Here is a 24,271-nt window from a genome sequence, read left to right as displayed (position 1 = left end):
AACAAAGCTGGATGGAGAATGACTTTGACAAGTTAACAGAAGTAGGCTTCAGAAGGTAGGTAATAACAAAATTCTCTGAGCTAAAGGAGGATGTTCGAACCCATTGCAAGGAAGCTAAAAACCTTGAAAAAAAGATTAGACGAATGGCTAACTAGGATAAACAGTGTAGAGAAGACCTTAAATGACCTGATGGAGCTGAAAACCATGACAGGAGAACTTCATGACGCATGCACAAGTTTCAATAGCTGATTCAATCAAGTAGAAGAAAGGGTATCAGTGACTGAAGATCAAATTAATGAAATAAAGCGAGAAGAAAAAGTAAGAAAAAACAGACTAAAAAGAAATGAACAAAGCCTCCAAGAAATATGGGACTATGTGAAAAGACCAAATCTACATTTGATTGATTGGTGTACCTGAAAGTGATGGGGAGAATGGAACCAAGTTGGAAAACACTCTGCAGGATATTATCCAGGAGAACTTTTCCAACCTAGCAAGGCAGGCCAACATTCAGATTCAGGAAATACAGAGAACACCACAAAGATACTCCTCAAGAAGAGCAACCCCAAGACACATAATTGTTGGATTCACCAAGGTTGAGATGATGGAAAAAGTGTTAAGGACAGCCAGAGAGAAAGGTCAAGTTACCCACAAAGGGAAGCCCATCAAACGAACAGCAGATCTCTCGGCAGAAACCCTACAAGCCAGAAGAGACTAAGGGCCAAAATTCAACATTCTTAAAGAAAAGAATTTTCAACCCAGAATTTCATATCCAGCCAAACTAACCTTCATAAGTGAAGGAGAAATAAAATCCTTTACAGACAAGCAAATGCTGAGAGATTTTGTCACCATCAGGCCTGCCTTACAAGAGCTCCTGAAGGAAGCACTAAACATGGAAAGAAACAAACGGGACTAGCCATTGCAAAAACATGCTAAATTACAAAGACCATAGATGCTACAAAGAAACTGCATCAATTAACAGGCAAAATAACCAGCGAACATCATAATGACAGGATCAAATTCACACATAACAATATTAACCTTAAATGGAAATGGGCTAAATGCCCCAATTAAAAGACAAAGTCAAGATCCATCAGTGTGCTGTATTCAGGAGACACATCTCACGTGCAAAGATGCACATAGGCTCAAAATAAAGGGATGGAGGAAGATCTACCAAGCAAATGGAAAGCAAAAAAAAGTAGGGATTGCAATCCTAGTCTCTGATAAAACAGACTTTAAACCAACAAAGATCAAAAGAGACAAAGAAGGCCAATACATAATGGTAAAGGGATCAATTTAACAAGAAGAGCTAACTATGATAAATATATATGCACCCAATACAGGAGCACCCAGACTGATAAAGCAAGCCCTTGGAGACCTACAAAGAGACTTAGACTCCCACACAATAATAATGGGAGACTTTAAAACCCCACTGTCAACATTAGAGAGATCAATGAGAGAGGTTAACAAGGATATCCAGGACTTGAACTCAGCTCTGCAACAAGCAAACCTAAAAGACATCTACAGAACTCTCCACCCCAAATCAACAGAATATACATTCTTCTCAGCACCACATCGCACTTATTCTAAAGTTGACCACATAATTAGAAATAAAGCAGTACTCAGCAAATGTAAAAGAACAGAAATCACAAAAAAACTGTCTCTCAGAACACAGAGCAATCAAATTAGAACTCAAGATTAAGAAACTCACTCAAAACCGCACAACTATATGGAAACTGAACTTGCTCCTGAATGACTACCAGGTAAATAACTAAATGAAGGCAGAAAGATGTTCTTTGAAACCAATAAGAACAAAGACACAATATACCAGAATCTCTGGGACACATTCAAAGCAGTGTGTAGAGGGAAATTTATAGCACTAAATGCCCACAAGAGAAGGCAGGAAAGATCTAAAATCGACACCCAACATCACAAATAAGAGAACTAGAGAAGCAAGAGCAAACACATTCAAAAAGCTAGCGGAAGGCAAGAAATAACTAAGATCAGAGCAGAAGTGAAAGAGACAGAGACACAAATAACCCTTCAAAAACTCAATGAATCCCAGAGCTGGTTTTTTGAAAAGATTAACAAAATTGATAGACCGCTAGCAAGACTAATAAAGAAGAAAAGAGAGAAGAATCAAATACATGCAATAAAAATGATAAAGGGGATATCACCACAGATCCCAAAGAAATACAAACTACCATCAGAGAATACTATAAACACCTCTATGCAAATAAACTAGAAAATCTAAAAGAAATGGATAAATTCCTGGACACATACACCCTCCCGAGACTAAACCAGGAAGAAGTTGAATCTCTGAATAGACCAATAACAGGCTCTGAAATTGAGGCAATAATTAATAGCCTACCAAACAAAAAAAGTCCAGGACCAGATGGATTCACAGCTGAATTCTACCAGAGGTACAAAGAGGAGCTGGTACCATTCCTTCTGAAACTATCCCAATCAATAGAAAAAGAGGGAATCCTCCCTAACTCATTTTATGAGGCCAGCATCATCCTGATACCAAAGCCTGGTAGAGACACAACAAAAAAAGAGAATTTTAGACCAATATCCCTGATGAACATCGATGTGAAAATCCTCAATAAAATACTGGCAAACCAAATCCATCAGCACATCAAAAAGCTTATCCACCACGATCAAGTCAGCTTTATCCCTGGGATGCAAGGCTGGTTCAACGTATGCAAATCAATAAACATAATCCATAACATAAACAGAACCAATGACAAAATCATATGATTATCTCAGTAGATGCCAAAAAGGCCTTCGACAAAATTCAACAGCCCTTCAGGCTAAAAACTCTCAATAAATTAGGTATTGATGGAAGGTATCTCAAAATAATAAGAGCTATTTATGAAAAACCCACAGCCAGTATCATACTGAATGGGCAAAACCTGGAAGCATTCCCTTTGAAAACTGGCACAAGACAGGGATGCCCTCTCTCACCACTCCTCTTCAACATAGTGTTGCAAGTTCTGGCCAGGGCAATCAAGCAAGAGAAAGAAATAAAGGGTATTCAATTAGGAAATGAGGAAGTCAAATTGTCCCTGTTTGCAGATGACATGATTGCATATTTAGAAAACCCCATCATCTCAGCCCAAAATCTCCTTAAGCTGATAAACAACTTTAGCAAAGTCTCAGGATACAAAATCAATGTGCAAAAATCACAAACATTCCTATACACCATTAACAGACAAACAGAGAGTCAAATCATGAGTGAACTCCCATTCGCCATTGCCACAAAGAGAATAAAATACCTAGGAAGCCAACTTACAAGGGATGTGAAGGAGTTCTCTTCAAGGAGAACTACAAACCACAGCTCAACGAAATAAAAGAGGACACAAACAAATGGAAGAATATTCCATGTTCATGGATAGGAAGAATCAGTATCGTGAAAATGGCCATACTGCCAAAGGTAATTTATAGATTCAATGCCATCCCCATCAAGCTACCAATGACTTTCTTCACAGAATTGGAAAAAACTACTTTAAAGTTCATATGGAACCAAAAAAGAGTCCGCATTGCCAAGAAAATCCTAAGCCAAAAGAACAAAGCTGGAGGATCATGCCACCTGACTTCAAACTATACTACAAGGCTACAGTAACCAAAACAGCATGGTACTGGTACCAAAACAGAGATATAGACCAATGGAACAGAACAGAGCCCTCAGAAATAATACTACACATCTACAAACATCTGATCTTTGACAAACCTGACAAAAACAAGAAAAGGGGAAAGGATTCCCTATTTAATAAATGGTGCTGGGAAAACTGGCTAGCCATATGTAGAAAGCTGAAACTGGATCCCTTCCTTACACCTTATACAAAAATTAATTCAAGATGGATTAAAGACTTAAATGTTAGACCTAAAACCATAAAAACCCTAGAAGAGAACCTAGGCAATACCATTCAGGACATAGGCATGGGCAAGGACTTCATGACTAAAACACCAAAGCAATGGCAACAAAAGCCAAAATTGACAAATGGAATCTAATTAAACTAAAGAGCTTCTGCACAGCAAAAGAAACTACCATCAGAGTGAACAGGCAACCTACAGAATGGGAGAAAATTTTTGCAATCTACCCATCTGACAAAGGGCTAATATCCAGAATCTACAAAGAACTCAAACAAATTTACAAGAAAAAAACAAACAACCCCATCAAAAAGTGGGCAAAGGACATGAACAGACACTTCTCAAAAGAAGACATTTATGCAGCCAACAGACACATGAAAAAATGCTCATCATCACTGGTCATCAGAGAAATACAAATCAAAACCACAGTGAGATACAATCTCACACCAGTTAGAATGGCAATCATTAAAAAGTCAGGAAACAACAGATGTTGGAGAGGATGCGGAGAAATAGGAATGTTTTTACACTGTTGGTGGAAGCGTAAATTAGTTCAACCATTGTGGAAGACAGTGTGGTGATTCCTCAAGGATTTAGAACTAGAATTACCATTTGACCCAGCAATCCCATTACTGGGTATATACCCAAAGGATTATAAATCATGCTACTATAAAGACACATGCACACATATGTTTACTGCGGTACTATTCACAATAGCAAAGGCTTGGAACCAACCCATATGTCCATCAATGATAGACTGGATTAAGAAAATGTGGCACATATGCACCATGGAATACTATGCAGCCATAAAAAAGGATGAGTTCATGTCCTTTGCAGGGACATGGATGAAGCTGGAAACCATCATTCTCAGCAAACTATCACAAGGAAAGAAAACCAAACACCATATGTTCTCACTCATAGGTGGGAACTGAACAATGAGATCACTTGGACACAGGGGGAACATCACACAATGGGGCCTGTTGTGGGGTTGGGGGCCTGGGGATGGATAGCATTAGGAGAAATACCTAATGTAAATGATGAGTTGATGGGTGTTAGGAGAAATACCTAATGTAAATGATGAGCTGATGGGTGCAGCAAACCGACATGGCACATGTATACCTATGTATCAAACCTGCACATTATGCGCATGTACCCTAGAACTTAAAGCATAATAATAATAAAAAAAATCTGCCCTGCCCACCAATGATGAACATGTATAATGGGTGAAAAATAAATTTTTATTTGGTGTCAATCATCTGAAGTTTGGATATTTCTGGTAGACATGGATATATGCTGCCCAGATCATAATTCAAAAAAAAACTTGTTGTCTGGGTTGCTAGCAGTGCTGTCAGTGAAGAGTCAGTTGCAAGCTACCTCACAAACTGCCTGAGGAACACAGGCCCACTTCACTCAAGGGCACACCCTTCCTAGAATGACCCATATTGAATGACTGATCAATGTATTGGTATAAAGGCCTGGCCATTCCAGCCCAACATTGGAGAAGTATGACCAATTATTTTGCCTTCAGTCAATCCTTACAGGGTTGACTAAGGTTATCCATCGAGCATCACAACTCAACTTCTCCCTTTGTCCAATTCTGCATCATCCCCCTACCTCTTGCAAAGGCATTGATTGTAAGGGTACTCCCAATTAACATCATGAATACTAAACTCTACCTCAGAGTCTGCTTTCCAGAGGACTCAAACTCTGACTTGTTTCAGGAATGGTATACTAAAGTAAGAAATAAGTTGGAGTTTGAGAGCTGGATCATACATTGCCAGGCTAGCAATGAAAAACTCATCATTGGTGGTAGGTGGAGCACAGATAGCTCTTGGCACAAAGTGGCCATTAAGCAACTGCAAAAACTTAAACTAGTGATAAAGTAGGAAGGCATGCCAATAGAAGGGAATAGTATAGCAGGAGTGAAGTACTAGATGCTTGAAAAACATGAGGAAGGGTAACTATTAAGATACTAGAATTGCATGTCTACTGCTTAGCCCCAGTGAGCTCTAGAAAAAGATAATGAAAGGCTGATAAAGCCAGAGGGTCTCCTCAGTACCATATAACGAGACTGCCAATTATAGAAGATCTGTCAATTAAAGAAGGTCAAGCCCCAGAAGAAAAAGGACTCTGACACACAAAATGGGAATATCAGAAGTTGATGCTCCTTAAAGTCTTCCCAAATTTTGAATTCCCAAATTTTCCTGAATCATCTGACACTGCAGAAATGATCCATCCTACCTTCCTAAAAGACAGATAGCACTCTGCCTTTGCTTAAACACAATGTAGAGGCTACTCTCCAGCATGACCTGTGGCGCAGGGCAGAATCTGCTCACATCTTCAGTACTGGCCAGAGGGCCTATAACTTGGGTTGGGTATCAACATAACTCATCTAGGTACATGCTGGGACTGCTAAGGAAAGAAAGAGAGTATACGACCAAAGAATCTATAAGACCTTCGCTGGTCACGGTGGCTCACGCCTGTAATCCCAGCACTTTGGGAGGTCGAGGCGGGCAGATCACAAGGTCAAGAGTTCGAGACCAGCCTGGCCAACATAGTGAAACCCCCGTCTCTACTAAAAGTACAAAAAATTAGCCGGGCGTGGTGGCGGGCGCCTGTAGTCCCAGCTACTCAGGAGGCTGAGGCAGGAGAATTGCTTGAACCCGGGAGACAGAGGTTGCAGTGAGCCAAGATCGAACCACTGCACTCCAGCCTGGACATCAGAGCAAGGCTCTGTCTCAAAACAACAACAACAACAACAACAAACCTAGACAGCTAGACAGCACATGTTGGCAGGAGGTGGGAGAGTACAAGTGGTACTAGGTTCAGAGGGGAGCTTGATCAAGGTGGCCAGAACCTTATGATTGGATTAGGGAGAGTTTACTGATTTGAAAGCCTTCTGCCAAGATGCAGGATTTTCCTTTCTGACAAGGATGCCACAAGAGGTGATGTTCACTTGCTATCTGGATGACTCTTAGAAACATGTAAAACATGAAAAGTATACCCATGCTAAGTAAGGTCAAAATGCCGGAACTGCCATAGCAAACAGTAAAGGCAGTGATTAAAAGTCTAAAAATGTGCACATGCTGAAGTCAATACACTATGTGATGCCAGAAAACCCACCAGGCTATTTTATCTATGGAAAGGGCCAGAGGATATGCCAATTACCAAAGCCATGAAGAATATGATGGTGGGAGAGACACTAGCATCACTAAGAATTTCGTGGCTTTCCTCCATAGACCAAAGCTGATAGTAGGAGCAACTGTAACAGAACTTAGCCCAATGATGGGAGACAATAGGAAAACAGCTGGACAAGGTCCAGCTCAAAATGGGTCCACTGGGTCACAGACTCACCCAGTGATCATGTCTTCAGTCGCTGGATATAGAATTGGAATAAACAGGCTTAACAAATGGCACAACACCTACCACATTTGGTCTTTGGTTCTCACAGTGGAAGCCTCTGGGAGCTTTTATCCCCTGGATAATACAATAAATTTTAAAATACTATCACATTCCAGAGAGAGTGGGTAGAAGCAATTAGTATCACCCTAAAGAATCTAAATAATGCCAGGATAATGGACCCCATCAAATCTCCATTTAAATCATCAGTTTGGCAAACTAAACAAAGCTTAAAGGATAGCAGACACCTACTACCAAGTAGAACTAAAATTGCAGGTGTCGTGCAAGATGTATATCTTTATTAGAGAAGATTAACATGGCCATGGAGTCGGCAAATGTGTTCTTTGCTAACTATCAAAAAAGAGGATCAAAAATAGTTTGCATTCACATGGAGGGGAAACTAGTATACCTTCACACTTTTGCCTTAGGATGATATTAATTCCGCCCTCTTTTGTCATACATAGTCAGAATACATTTGATCCTGTTGGACATCTTGCAGAACATTACATTGTTCTACTACATTAACAACATTATGCTAATTGGGCCAGATGGGCAAGAATAATGCAACAGAGACCTTCTTAAGACATATGCTTCAAAGGATGGAAAATAAAACCTACAAAGATTCAGAGACTTTGATATTGGTAAAATATTTAGGGGTCCAGTGGACAAGAACATTCTCAGACAGCTCATCTGAATTAAAAGACCAATTATGCATCTTGCAACTCCCATTACAAAGAAGAAAGCAAACCATCTGGTAGGCCTCTTTGTGTTCTAAAGGCAGCATATTCCACTCCTAGGAATGCTGCTTCAGCCCATATACTGGAAGACATTAAAGGCTGCCAGCTCTTTCCAGCCAGGGTAGGAAATAGCTCTGCTGTCAGTGAAGTCTACCCTGCATGCAACTCTGCAGCTAGGCACATATGACCCAGTACATACTATAGTTATTGGTAGTGTCACTGTTGGAAAAAGTAGTATGTGGAATTTATGGCAAGCCCCAGTGAAAGAATCACAATGCAGGCTTCACACACATGTCAAAGGCCATACCATCTGTGGTGGAAAGTTATATACCTCTATTACTGCCATGCCACTGGGTCCAGATAAAAATAGAATGCTTGACCATGGGTAATCAAGTGACTATGTGTTGAGAGTTTGCAATCATGAGCTAGTTCTGTTACCAATAACCCTAAGAATATAAAATGGAAGTGGTACCCATGATCAAGTATGAGCAGAAACACAGGGCACAAGCAATCTGTGTAAGTATGTAGCTCAAATCCCTATGTCATCCACCACTGTTACATCAACACCCCTCCCTATGGCCATATGGGGAATTCTCTGCTGTCCAGATAACAAGAGGAAGAAAACACAAATATGCCAGCTTGATATGTGGGCATAAATCAAATGCCTTAAAGCTCAATACTAAATAAATATAATGTGTTTACAAGTAGTCTAAACCAATTCTTACACTAAAAAGTCTCCTACATTTTTAATCTGTCTGACTATAATTTATATTTCTTGCCAAGAAGAAAATATATTTCTGGAGCACTTAGGTTATTATCACTTCATAAACAGTTCAAGGCCAAACAAATTAAAGCAAATTCCATAGTTACTGACATCATGAAAATTACAGAAATAATATTCTATACCAACAAAACAGCCACGATGAAAAGAATGAAGACCAAGATAATATACACTCTCTGGAATACAGGCTTAAAAAAATAAAAAATAAAATAACATAATGTACTCATTATTTAAGGTACTAAATATTAATTATGAACCATATACTCAATACACATAAGATCAAAAAATTAGAGTTACTGTTCTCTCAAACCCAAATTTGAGCAAACGGTACTATACCATCAAAACTATTTACACGTGAGGGATAGATAATTACATTAAAAACTCAAGCTGAAGGCAGACTGATTTATTTTAACAATTATACATTAAAAAATGCAAGTGGAAAATGTAAATTCACTGGCTAATTTTTCCATAAATGCTCATGTTTTTTCACAATATACATATACATATATATAAACGTGTGTGTGTGTGTATATATATATCTGTATTACTGTAAAGACACTTTAAAAAATCTTTTGGCCAGGCACGGTGGCTCACGCATGTAATCCCAGCACTTTGGGAGGCCAAGGCAGGCAGATCACCTGAGGTCAGGAGTTCAAGACCAGCCTGGCCAACATGATGAAATCCTGTCTCTACTGAAAAATACAAAAAAAATACAAAAATTAGCCGGAGATGGTGGCAGGCGCCTGTAATCTCAGCTACTTGGGAGGCTGAGGCAGAAGAGTCACTTGAACTTGGGAGGCAGAAGTTGCAGTGAGCCGAGGTCATGCCATTGCACTCCAACTCAAAAAAAAATAAAAATCTTTTACTGTTTCACTTAAAATGCCAATTCATAAGTTAGTCTTAAATGCAAATTTGAAATAAGACAGAAAGTACACATAGGTTGTATGTACAAGGCTCACAACAAGATGAATATAAAGAAAAACCTATATTAGCCATTTCAAAACTTCTGTAATAGAAAATTACATTTCTGGATGTTGCCAAATATCTTTTCCCACCTGCCCCTGAAATGATGGTACTTTACTGGGGTTTTGTTTTTTGGCTCCCTACTTCAAAACTTCTTTTAATATTCTAAAATAAGCACAATTTACTCTAGGTTAACTCATTCTCAGTTTAAAAAAAAACTCATTCATACCCGTATCTTCTCTCAGGAATTGTCCCCTGGCATTCATTAAATAAATATTTATTTAGTTTTTTACTGTCTGCCAGGCAAAGTAGGCGAAATTATTTTATAGTGTCTTAACATACAATGATATGTCCTGTTGCTTTGGTAGTTTTGAACTAATAAATTATATTTATAGATTCCCAGATAACGAATCACAGTTGAATTCCTAGAATGAATCCTACTTGATCATAGTTTATTAAACTTTTGAAATATGGTTGGAGCCTATGTGTTAATATTTTATTTTAAAATTTTTATTCTACATTCATGACTTCTTTGTCCTGCCTTCTTCCCCCAAGAGTTAAGACTTTTTAAAACTTTTTTCCTTTTTTACATTTTTTACTGAGAAATAATTGTACATATTAATGGAGTATATAGTGATGCTTCAATACATATAATGTATAGTGATCAGATCAGGGTAACTGGCATATCAATCATCTCGAACATTTATCATTTCTTTGTGTTAGAAACATTCAATATCCTAATTCTAGATATTTGAAACTACACATAATAGTTAACTATTGTCATCTTACACTGGTATAGAACACTACAATGTATTCCTCCTATCTAGCTGTAATTTTGTATTCTTTAACAAATCTCTCTGTGTAACCTACCACTTCCCCCACCCTCCTCAGACTCTAGTATCCTCTGTTCTATTTTTGTCTTCTATGAGATGAACTTTTTTTAGCTTCCACATATGAGTGAAAACATACAGTGTTTAACTTTCTGTTCCTGGCTTATTTCGCTTAACATAATGTCTTCCAGTTCCATCCATGTTGCCACAAATGATAGGTCTTCATTCTTTTTATGGCTGAATAGTATTTCAGCATGTATATATACCACATTTTTCAAATTCATTCATCCCTTGTTGGAAACCTAGGTGGTTCCATATCTTGGATGTTGTGAATAGTACTGCAATAAACCTGGAGGTGCAGGTGTCTCTTTAATATACTGATTTTCTTTCCTTTGGATAAATATCCAGTGGTGGTATTGCTGGATCGTATAATAGTTCTATTTGTAGTTTTTGAAGAACCTCCATACTATTCTCCATAGTGGCTGTACTAGCTTACATTTCCATCAAAAACATTTCCCCATTGTTCCACATCCTCACCAGCATTTGTTATTTTTTTGTCTTTTTGATAATAGATATCCTAAATGGCGTGAGATGATACTTCATTGTGTTTTGATTTGTATTTCCCTGATGAATACTGATGTTGAACATGTTGTCATATATTATTGGTTATTTGTATGTCTTCTTTTGAGAAATATCTGTTGAGATCATTTGCCTATTTTTGTTAAACATTTGCAAAATGGATTGTTTGTTGAGGTTTTTTTTATCATTGAGAATTTTTTAGTTCTTTGTATATTCTGGATGTTAATCCCCCATCAGATGAATAGTTTGCAAATATTTTCTCCCCTTCTGGAGGTTGTCTTTTCATTCTGTTGATTGTCCTTTTCTTTGCAAAAGCTTTTTATTTTATATGATCCCATTTGTTTACTTTTGCTTTTGTTGCCTGTGCTGTTGCGGCCTTTTGCAGAAAGTCTTCTCCAGACCCATGTCTTGAAGGATTATTCCTGTTTTCTGTTGTTTTATTGTTTTGATCCATTTTTAGTTTAGAGGGGAGGGTCTAGTTTCATACTGCTGCAAATGAATGTCAACTTTTCCCAGAACTATTTATTAAAGAGGCTGCTTTTTCAGAGCATTTTTTTCATTAATCTTTATTCAGTAATTTTTGTATTCAATACAGTCTCTCAAAATGGATACAGACTTGTTAAGAATGAGAGAGATGGCCGGGCGCGGTGGCTCACGCCTGTAATCCCAGCACTTTGGGAGGCCGAGGCGGGTGGATCATGAGGTCAGGAGATCGAGACCATCCTGGCTAACAAGGTGAAACCCCGTCTCTACTAAAAATACAAAAAATTAGCCGGGCGCGGTGGCGGGCGCCTGTAGTCCCAGCTACTCGGGAGGCTGAGGCAGGAGAATGGCGTGAACCCAGGAAGTGGAGCTTGCAGTGAGCCGAGATTGCGCTACTGCAGTCCGCAGTCCGACCTGGGCGACAGAGCGAGACTCCGTCTCAAAAAAAAAAAAAAAAAAGAATGAGAGAGATTCATTATCCATTATCCTTTTCTTTCTCCTGGATTTTCTATCTTGAGGTCACTATTTTCCAATCAACTTATTCGGGAGGGGGACAGGTAGAGTGAAATTCAAATACCTCTCAGAAATATGATTAAATCTATTGATAAAAACTATTTTTGAATGTCTCACTACACTAACAAGTTCTTTCCAACTAAAATTCCTTTTTTTTCCTGTTAAACCAGGAAAAATAAATATCACGGTGTATAGTGTTAATATCAAAAGGACTCTGAATGTAGACTTAACTTTAAATTCTGAATACAACATCTTATAGCCTGTGTGAGTTTGGGTTTAACCATGGTAAATCACAGTGTCTTCTTCTATAAATTAAATATACTAATGTACACTACACAGATGTAACAATAATTATATTATAAATCATGTGTGACATGCCAAGCACTGTTGAAAACATTAGATAAATGTTAGTTCATCCTTTCCTCAAAATAAAAGGTTATTTTTTCTTTTATTTAGTGGCCTCTTTTTAAAAAAGATTAAACTACTATTTCTTGTATATAATCCCAACAAAAAGAAAGAGAACACCTTGAGCAAAGGATACAATGAAGCTTAAAACAGTCGACAGTTGGCTAAATTCATTGAAAGAAATGTGTGATGATTCTAAGGATTTTCCTGATCTACAAAGAAATTGTTTCTTTCAGATGGCCAGGTAAGTGGTACCACTTTCATCAAGAAAGAGCCCTAAGAATTTAACGAAGTGCATAGAGAAATACGGATAAACAGAGAGAGGAACTAATAAAATAACCTCCAGAAAATAAAAATAATTATAAACATGAAAAGCAAGCAGATTGGAATTTTCATAACTTTGCATGAGTATTCCAAAAAATTAAATAATTAGATGTCTTAATTTGAATATGATTTTGCTATGAAATTATATGCCTTACCAAACTATATCTATTATATATGTATACATATATATCACTCCAAACAGTTGGACAAAATCAGGTATCCCAGGCTTCATTAATTAGTTAAGTGATTTTTTTTTTTTTTTTTTTTTTTTGAGACGGAGTGTCGGTCTTGTTGCGCAGGCTGGAGTGCAATGGCGCAATCTCGGCTCACTGAAACCTCCACCTCCAGGGTACAAGCGATTCTCCTGCCTCAGCCTCCTGAGTAGCCAGGATTACAGGCATGCACCACCACACCCAGCTAATTTTTGTATTTTTAGTAGAGACGGGGTTTCTCCATGTTGGTCAGGCTGGTCTCAAACTCTCGACCTCAGGTGATCAGCCTGCCTCAGGCTCCCAAAGTGGTGGGATTACAGGAGTCAGCCACCGTGCCCGGCCAGTTAAGTGATCTTTTAAGAGTATACAGAACTGCAATTTCACTGTATTATAAAATGGTTAAGAATATACATTATTATATACTACCATTAAAATATTACTTTCCCAAATAAAAAATTACTTTTTAGTTTTTACTGATTTAGTTTTTAAATAATCACTACAAAGAAATTAATGTCATAAGTAAACCACTATGTTCAGGGAATTTATTTTGAAAACTCGATTATTCGTTAAATCTCATTTGAAATTTCAGCTGTTCTGCTTTCTGCAAGATATAGTTCTTATACAAATCCTATTCCCTACCCATTCTTAAATAATTTAACTCAGGAAATTACATTTTCATGTTTCTGTTATCCTCTATTATCTTTTTGATTAAGAAAAAAACATAGTCAATAAGTTGTTTTGCATCTTGTTTCAGAATTCTGTGTGAATTCTAAATAGAAGGTTATCTTTACCAGAAAGTTCTTGTTAACCTTGAAGAAGGTGCCATAGTGGCTTTCTGAAAGTAATAATAACAGCACTAACAATAACAAAAAAAAATTAAGTTTTTGGATTCTCAAATCTGACCTCAAACTAGATTTACAAACTAGAACATTAAGAAATGTGTCATGTCATATGTTACAGTCAAATTAAGAAATGTGTCATGCTATGTGTTATACTCAACCTATCTTATTCACCACCCTAGCTGTATTATCAGCTGCACTTTAGTCACTTTTAAAAAACATAGATGCCCAGTATCCAATCTCAAAGAATCTGATTACGTAAGTTATTTTTTTTTTCCAACCAACCTCCAAAGAGGATGCCAAGGTATGAGCATGATTGAAAATCACCAGTATATGCCTTCTACATCCATCATGCAATAATAGAATGGGAACTGTGAAGGCAAGGTTATATACCCAAAGATTAGCGATATTGACTGTATAAAATTTACTGTGAGAGTAATGTTCAAATAATACATTTTGCAACAATAAAAAATTAGAAATGGTACAAATATTCCTGTTTAAATATCATATAACACAAAACAATCAGCTAAGCTTTTAAGTGCCTTCCATAAATGCACCAAAAATGTCCTGGTGTACCACAGTGAAAAGAAAAACTAGCAACATGACACTTTTTCTGTTTCCTAATTGGTTTACTATATAATGCTTATATCTATTTCCACAAAAACATACTCCATGAGGAAAACAATTATTTTGAAAGACATTTGTTGAAGTATAAATAATAATATGAAAAATACCTTTTCCCAGAAAAATAGTCCAACATTTCATACTCCAAACCCAGGAGGATAAAACAGATTATTTTAGAGAACATTTTTGAGAACTACCTACAAATAATCAAATGAGATAAAGCCGAACAGTTTTAACCTATGTTGAATTGTGGAACTGTCTTTATGTTTTTGTTGTCAGTGTTAGCACAGGGGATAAAAAAAAACCTTTGTTAAAATGTAAAACTGTTTAAAATATGCTATTCCTTCCTCCAGTCTGAACAACTTGCTTGAAAAAATGGAACTCATATTTTCTTCTATATTTCTACAGCATTAAGAAACAAGCATTACTAAGAATAAGGTAATTTGTTGCCATAATTAAGAACATACACTGGGCCCAACTAATCAGCATGATGTAGTCAAATAGAAAGACTACCACAAGTTTTAGGAGTTACAAAAGTTAGATCTACCGCCTACTACCTGCATGGCTTTGGCAAGTTCCTGTTACTCTCATCTGTTTAATCTTCTGAATATTAGGATAATAGTACCATGCTACAAGGTAGGTTAAAGATTTTGTATATAAATTACTTAACATAGTACCTAGCACATAGAAGGAAATTAAATAAATAGTAGTAATTAGAATCATCATAATCTGACATCTTTCTATTTCTGAAACAAAATTCTCCAAATTTTTTCACTTAAGTTTTTTGACACATAAAACTTGATATATCATAATCTTCAACAATATGAAAAAAATAAAAATACATTCCCATTTTGTCAGCCAGAAAATAGCTCAACCTTAAATTCTTCATTGAAGTACAGACATTGTGTGGAAGCTCCTTGAAGAACCTTTTGCAAAAGTTCAAAATTCCACTTCATGGATTTTTAACAATGACAACAACAATGTATACTTTTTGTGGGATTTTTTTTCCCCAGAAGAAAAACAAACAAACAAAACTTTCATCAACTTCCAGAAAAATAAGCCCAGGGTCTTATCACCATAGCCAAAACAATAATATATTGACAGGCCCAATCTAGCAATGAGATAAAGTCACTGCCAGCCTAGATTCAGTACTTCATTCAACCCATTTTACTAATTTCAAACAATGATTCATGAGCCTCCTAAAAGCTGAGACAATCCCATGTTCGTCAGGAGTTACCACTTCAAATTATTATTTCAAAAAGAAAAAGATCAAATTACTAGTATCAAATGATTAATCACAGAATGACATTCATTACTTAGATTTAAAAACCATGCTTAACTTTACTACTAGGAATTTCCTTTGAAACAACTGTAATAGTAAAAAGATTAAAGTGCTTATTAATAGTCAGAGTTTTCTTTACATGATTCTACTTGAAATAATTTACCAAAGCAGATTATGTGCCTTTATGAGGTTTAAGAGAAAAAGTATACTTCTTACATCTATTAAATGTGTTATTCTTTTATTTTACTTATAAAAATGTTTCCTAATCGCTTCAAATTGGTATAATACTTTATTTATACCCTCAATAAAAGGTGCTCTTAAGTACTGATAAGTATATTTTAAATATCAGCTAGGTTTTATATATAATATGATACATAGAAAAACAATGTTTTCACTACAAGGGTCTACTGGATACCTAAATTTAGTATTTCAATAAATACATTCACTTAAATATTCAGAAATTGATAGGATTATATTGCGTAACTAAAATTAGGTGAATTGTATAAATGCAAACTGTTTTTAGTTCTTTGGGAAAACATGCTTATATAGTTGTTTCCCAGATACATCTGGGTTTCCATTTCGTCTCAAAATCTTATTTCTTTAGCTCTACTATCTCTATTCCTTTCTCTAGTTCTATCAGATTCCTATATATAGTAAGTATATCGGAAATGTTTAATATATTTTTGCTTATCCCTTAAAATCTAAAATGTTTACATTCCTACTATGTATAAAAATTTACATAATTCAACAGTATTCCATATCTACCCATTATCAAAATTAATATGTAGCAAACACAATAAACTGATATAGTGTTCACAAAGGGAAACAACATAAAAAGTCTTCAAAAAGGACATCCAAATCTAGCTTTTTGTATTCCCTGTATCTACCACTACTTCTGCTCAGTACTTCTGTTCTCCTGGCTCTATTACTATAATACTACTGTGCTGAAATTAGAAAGAATTCCATTCATATTCTATCACTTAACTCTAAAATGACATATACACATGCTATCAATTAATGTATTTGAGAATATCTATATGGAAAATTTCTGATATTTCCTACTTTGTACAATCCTAACAGATACATACCTATGTCATATGCCAGGAAATCGGCAGAAAAACATTTTGCACCGTTACTCAAGGAAGTGTCATTATGGGTATTTCCTCCAAAAATAAGCATAGCTCCATTGATAAGAACAGCTGAATGAAGGTATCTGGCAAACCCACTTTCTTTCAAAATAGTCCTACAGAATAAAATTTAAAAATGTATTACAAAGGATAAAATGACCTCCCTGATTTTATATATGTTATATAAAGGGTCTACTTTGCATATAGAGGTTTCCCTGGAATTGTGGGGGAAAAAAACATATTTTTTAACAATTTATAAATGACCTCTAAACTTCAATATTTCAAAAAAAAATATTTTGAGGCTCATAGCATCTTAAAATGCTTTGAGGAGACACAATATCAAAAAGAATTTTTAATACTCATAATAATTTATATTATAAATTATTTTTTCATTTACAAAGATAGGAAACAAGCCATCTTAAAACTAGAGGCCCAAAACATCATTTTAAAATACCAAATAAGTAAAAAGTTAAATATAGTAAATTTAGTCTAAACTATATTTGGTTAAAACTGTGTAACTCATATGGACTCCATAATAAACTTTTAAGATTTTATTTAAGTATAACATGCATAAAACTGCATATATCAGAAGCCTAAAACTCAATGATTTTTCACAACATGAACACAACTAAGTAATCAGCACTCACATAAAAAACTATAAGAATATTACCACTATTCTAACAGCATAAATTCATTTGCTGTTTTTGTACCTTACCTAAGTGGAGTCTATAGATTGCACTCATTGATGAATAGGTACATTTGCTCAAGATATATATATATTTGAGATATATATTTTTTGTGTAATCAAAAATTACAATTACAACGCATCTTGTGAAACATTAAAATTAATATAAATGTTCTTTTAATTAAAGTATAATTCTGAGAGAAAATATTATAAATATATGCTCACAATTATAACTGATCTGAATGAATGGATATGTAGTAAAGGTGCATGACAATATAAATAAATATTAAATAACTACTCTAAAGCCCTGATACAAACAATTAGAAGTTAGAATTATTATATACATAAACATAGCTAATACGTAAAGTATAGTTAGTATAGTATATGTAGCAGCTCCAAAACCATGGATTATAATACCAATTAATTTCTAAAGAATATGAAGCTCAGCCAGGCGTGGTGTTGTCTCACGCCTGTAACTCCAGCACTTTGAGAGGCCAAGGCGGGTGGATCACGAGATCAGGAGATCAAGACCATCCTGGCTTGATCCAGGGCAAAACCCTGTCTCTACTAAAAACACAAAAAATTACCCGGGCATGGTGGCACGTGCCCGTAGTCCCAGCTACTCGGGAGGCTGAGGCAGGAGAATTGCTTGAACCCGGGAGGCGGAGGTTGCAGTGAGCCAAGATGGCACCACTGCACTCCAGCCTGGGCAACAGAGTGAGACTCTGTCTCAAAAAAAAAAAAAAAGGAAAAAAGTATGAAGCTCACTTACAGAATGGTAACATGAGGAGTTCCACAAACACTCCCACTAGGAAAAGAACTATAATTGGTAAAAATTATAAAAAGCAACCATTAACCTAAGAAAATTTTGCTAAGAGCAACACCAAATAAAGAAACATTTACTCAAAAAGAACAGCAATAGTCTATGGCAATAGATAATTACTTACCCCAACCCCCTCACGCCTGCCTCACACACACAAAACCAATTCAGCATGATAGAAATTCTACCCCAGGCAAGTAAAGCCAAGAACATAAGGCTCCTTCATCCCTCAACTCCCACTCCAGGCCAGCGATATCTCACTAGGAGTGGCAGGATACCAGCACTTCTCATTCCCTCCAGCTCTGGGTTACAGAAGCTCTGTTCTGGGAAAGATCATGAGAGGTCTGGGTGCTCTTCCTCTGCCCAGTTGCCACTCATAGGGTGGTAGCTATACACTAATTCCAGCAGGCTAACAACATTGGACCCAATAGCCTTCATCCCACCTCACTCCTAAGGCAGACTGTTGCATCCAGAAAGAGCCAAGTTGAGAAGACTCCAGAGACTACTATCCCCATCTAGTGCTCTGTACATAAAGTAGTGGTGTCACTCTAAGAGGAACAGGCCACTAAGCCCACCCACCTGCAACTCCAAAGCAGTAGCACAGAAGTTTTTCCCCAGGAGGAGAGGTAGGCTAAGAAAAAATACAGCCCCGGCCGGGCGCGGTGCTCATGCCTGTAATCCCAGCACTTTGGGAGGCCGAAGTGGGCGAATCACGATGTCAGGAGTTCCAGACTAGGCTTGCCAACATGGTGAAACCCCATCTCTACTAAAAATACAAAAAATTAGCTGGGCGTGGTAGCCTGCGCCTGTAGTCCCAGCTACTCGGGAGGCTAAGGCAGGAGAATCGCTTGAACCCGGGAGGCAGAGGTTCCAGCGAGCTGAGATCGCACCACTGCACTCTAGCCCAGGTAACAGAGTGAGACTCCATCACAAAAAATAAAATAAAATAAAATAAAATAATCTCTAGTCTCTAATTTTTCTTTACAAAACAAGAAAATACTATAATCTAGTGGACAGTAAATAAATAATATGGATCAAGGAACAAAATATTCTCTAGTAGAGCAATATTTAAGCTAAGATAATTTAAATATAATGAAGAAGAAGGTGGAACTTATTCCAAGTATGCTAGGCTGGTTCAACATTCAAAGTCAATTGATTCAATCCATCATGTCGATAAGCTAACAAAGAAAATCATATGATCATATCAATAGATGGAGAAAAAGCATTGACAAAATCCAACATTCAGTCATGATAAAAACTCAGCAAACTAGGAATAGAGGGAAAATACCTCAGCTTGATAAACATCTATAAAAACATCATATTTAATGGTGAGAAACAATGTTTTCCTTCCAAGAAAAGGAATAAGGCAAGGATGTTTCATCTCACCATTTCTATTCAACATTTTAGTGGAAGTTCTTGCTACTGCAATAAGACAAGAGAATGAAATAAAAGATATACAGATTGGGAAGGAAGAAATAAAATGGTATTTTTTCACAAATGATATGACTGTCTACGAAGTAAATCCCAAAGAATCAACAACAACAACAACAACAACCAAAAAAACCCTCTAGAACTAATAAGCTAGCATAGCAAGGTTGCAGGACACAAGGGTAATATACAATTGATTTTTTATATACCAGCAGTGAACAAGAACAAAAACACAATACCATTTACATTAGAACCAAAAGAAGAGAAATACTTAGGTAGAAACCTAACAAAATATGTACAAGACTGGTATGAGGAAAACTACAAACAATAAAAGAAACCAAAAATCTAAATAAATAAAGAGATAGTACATGAACACAGATAGGAAAACTAATACTGGCAATATGCCAGTTCTTCCCAGCTTGATATGCAGATTCAGTGTAATACAAATCAAAATTCCAGCAAGATTTTTAGTAATAAATTTACCAAATTTTTATCAAACTGATTCTAAAATTTATATGTAAAGGCAAAAGACCTAAAATAGCCAGCACAATATTGAAGAAGAAGAACAAAGTCAAAGATTGACATCACCTGGCTTTGGGACTTACTATAAAGCTACAATAATCAAGTCAGTCCCTGGGACTGGCAAAAGAATAGACAAATAAATCAAGGAAACAGAATAGAGAGCTCAGAAATAGACACATACAAATATGGTCAACTGATCTTTGACAAAATAGAAAAAACGATTCAACAATGAAAGGACTGTCTATTGGACAAATATTGCTGGAACAACAGGGCATCACAGTAGTAATAACAGAAATAATCATCTAGATACAGACCTTACATCTTTTACAAAAATTAACTCAGAATAGATCGCAGAGCTAAATGTAAAATGCAAAATTATTTAATATAAAACTCCCAGAAGATAACGCAGGAGAAAATCTAGGTAACCTGGGTTTGGTGATGACATTTTAGATACAGCAACAAAAGCATAAATGATGAAAGAAAAAAGTCATAATTTGGACTCTATTAAAATTAAAAACCTCTCCTCAGTGAAAGACATTGTTATGAGAATGAAACAACAAGCCACAGTCTGGGAGAACATATTTGTAACACATAGCTAATAAAGGACTGGTATCCAAATTATACAAGGATCCCTTAAAACTCAATAAAAAACAAGCTCAATTTTAAAAAAGGCAAAAGATCTGAACAGACACCTTTTCTAAGAAGACATATTTATGTCTAGTAAGCATGTTAAAAGATATCCCACATTACATGTCACAGGGAAATGCAGATTAAAATAACAGTGAAATACCACTACACACATATTAGAATAGCTAAAATCTAAAATGCTGACAAAAGATGGCAACGATCTAGAGCAACAGGAACTCTCATTCATCGCTGCTGGGAATGAAAAATGATACAGCCAGCCACTTTGGCAGTTTCTCACAAAACTAAACATAACTTTACCATACCATCCAGGAATTGCACTCCATGGTGGTCACCTGAATGAGTTGAAAATATGTCCACACAAAAATCTGCACACAGATGTTTATAGCAGCTTTATTCATAATTGTCAAAATTTGGAGGCAACCAAGATGTTCTTCAATAGGTAACTGGATAAACAAAAGATGGTTTCCATACAATGCAACATAATTCAGCAATAAAAGACATGGGCTATTATGTCATGAAGAGACATAAAGGAACTTTAAATGCTTATTGCTAAGTGAAAGAAGCCAAAATTAAAAGGCTACATACTACATGATTCCAGCTTTATGACATTCTAGAAAAGGCAAAAGTATGGAGACAGTAAAAATATCAGTGGTTGCCAAGAGTTTGGAGGGAGGAAGAGATAAGCAAGAGGATCACAGGTTATTTTTAGGAAAATTAAAATATTCTGTATGAAATGATCATTGTAGATACATGTCACTATACATTTGTGAAAATCCATAGAATATACAGCACAAAAGTGAACCTAATATAAACTATGGACTTAGTTAATGAGTAATGTATCAACATTGACCCACTGACTGTAACAAATGTACCATATTCACGTAAGACACATAATAGAGGACCTGGGGATAGGGGAGATGAGAGTATTTGGAAACATTCTGTACTTTCTGCTCATTTCTCCATAAAACTAAAACTGCTCTAAAACATAGAGTTTATTGTTAAAAAAACAAAACAAACAAACAAAAAATGTGGGGATTAAAATTACATCTGATTTACCAGATATGGTATATTAAATGGAAAAAGTAAATCTTGTTCCTCATACTTCACATACAAAAATATTTTGTAATGTATGAAGCATAAAATGGAAACCAAGTTTCTCACTGGCAGAAGAGATTTACAAATGTGAAAGAGGGGAAGGCAAAAATGATCCCTGTAATGCTGTATGGCATCATTATGCAATTTAGACAGACAGCATTTAAGCACAGATAGATATGTAGAGCTACAGATACATGCCCAGATCTATAAATGGATATAGAGGATATAAATGGATATATGCGTAGTTCTCTAATCTTAGTTTTTAAAGAACATTCTCCACTAAAAGGAACCTAGGTTCCTTGAGGGTAATGATTTATTCGAGCACTAGGGCAGGGACAAATGTTTGTGCAGAAGGTAAAGGAGTGCACAAAGAATGATGGGGACATATCTAAAGAATACAGACACCTGATTGAAAGGAGCTCACTAGGCAAATCTGTGACAATATAAGCACCAGAATAAAGAATAGCAATTGATTACAAAACATTAAATAAAATAAAAATACATGAATTCATACTGATATAAATGAATATATAGACTGGGGAGACTAAGAAGGAATAATGAAATATAAGCACTTAGTAACCATCATACTAATAACTCTTTCTAGTGAGAATCATCAATGGGTATTAAAACTATTATGTAAAGGTTTAACAAGAAATAAAATATTTACATAATCTGAAAGTATCTCCCAATAAGGCACTTAGTAATTTAAAAAGGAAAAACAGTATATTTACCATTGAGAAAACTAAAATATACCACTTTTACCAAGATATAAAAGTTAACCTTTCCAGAAATGTTCACAGCAGCCTCATTCTTAATAGTCAAAAGTGAAAACAACCCAAATGTCTATTAATTGACAAATAGATTTTTAAAATATGGTATATTGAGATAATGGAATATTATTCAGTCATAACAAAAACAATGAAGCACTGATATATGGTATAATACAGACGAACTCTGGAAAAAAAAAATTACAATAAGTGAAAGAAGCCACACACAGGAGGCCATGTTTGTACAATTCCATACATACAAAATATCCAGATTAGACAAATCCATAGAGAGAGAGAAATTAAATTAGTGGTTGCCAGAAGATGGAGATAGAGAGAATAGACAGGTATGGGGTTTCTTTTGGGGCTGATGGAAATATTCTGGAACTAGTGGTAATAGTTGCACAATATTATGAATATACTGAAAACCACTAAATTGTACTGTTTTAAATGATCAAAATTAAGAAGTTTATGTTATGACTTTTATCTCAATAAAAAAGGTTTTTTCACAAAAATTTAACTTCACCAGCCATGGGAGAAGAATATGACATTTTGGTATTCCTAACAAAAATACAAAATGTGAATCTAATCATGCAGAAACATCAGATAAACCCAAACGAGGCACAGACTTCAAATGAAAGATCATGACTATTCCAAATTAAAGGAGACTAAAAAGACATGACAACTAAATGTTTGCATGCTCCTGGATGTAATCCTGGATCAGGAAAAGATACCCAAACTCAGTAAGGAAAAAAGTATCAAAATCTGAGAAGGAGAGTATAAAAAGGGAAAACCACAGGCCAATCACATATGTGAACATTCATGAAAACTTATTAAGAAATCAAATCCGGCTCATACCAGTAATCCCAGCACTTTGGGAGGCCAAGGCGGGCGGATGGCTTGACCTCAGGAGTTCGAGACCAGCCAGGGCAACATAGCAAAACCCGGTCCCTAATAAATACAAAAATTAGTCGGCCCTGCTGGCACCCATCTGGGGTCCCAGTGACTCGGGAGTCTAAAGTGAGAGGATCGCTTGAACCTGGGAAGTGGAGGTTGCAGTGAGCCGAGATCGTACCACTGCTCTCAAGCATGGGCAACAGAGTGAGACCCTGTCTCAAAAAAAAAAAAAAAAGAAAAAGAAAAAAATCGAATCTAGCAATTTTAATGTTATAATTTGTAAAAAATATTGGTACAATTGAAAAAATTAAATGTGTTAGATTATAATATTCTATCCATGTTATTTTCTAAATTTGATCCTTATGTAAGAGAGTATCTTTGTTTTTTAGTAAATATATTTTAAAATATTTATGCTTAAGAGGGCATCATGTAAGCAACTCCATTCAA

At 35.9% G+C, this 24,271-nt stretch overlaps 1 protein-coding gene across 10 annotated transcripts in view, besides 1 other annotated feature; it reads right to left on the bottom strand.

The window, feature by feature from the left end:
- The window catches only part of ATRNL1 (attractin like 1), an 855,635-nt gene that overhangs the window by 690,348 nt on the left and 141,016 nt on the right, over nucleotides 1-24,271 (bottom strand). For all 10 annotated transcript variants that reach the window (NM_207303.4, XM_011539587.2, XM_011539588.3 and 7 more), the window contains one exon: nucleotides 16,927-17,081. In NM_207303.4, the coding sequence (NP_997186.1) occupies nucleotides 16,927-17,081 (155 nt within the window). The remainder of the gene's footprint in view (nucleotides 1-16,926; nucleotides 17,082-24,271) is intronic.
- Nucleotides 6,481-6,601: a silencer, noted in NCBI's record as "fragment chr10:117011521-117011641 (GRCh37/hg19 assembly coordinates)". NCBI's record gives its function as "represses an EF-1alpha promoter that drives an FKBP-Casp9 reporter gene in an ReSE screen in K562 erythroleukemia cells {active_cell/tissue: K562}" and the evidence as "EXISTENCE:reporter gene assay evidence [ECO:0000049][PMID:32094911]".

Source organism: Homo sapiens, chromosome 10 (genome assembly GCF_000001405.40).
Source record: "Homo sapiens chromosome 10, GRCh38.p14 Primary Assembly".
NCBI classification, from domain to species: domain Eukaryota; kingdom Metazoa; phylum Chordata; class Mammalia; order Primates; family Hominidae; genus Homo; species Homo sapiens.
This window is presented reverse-complemented; position numbering and strand designations above follow the sequence as displayed.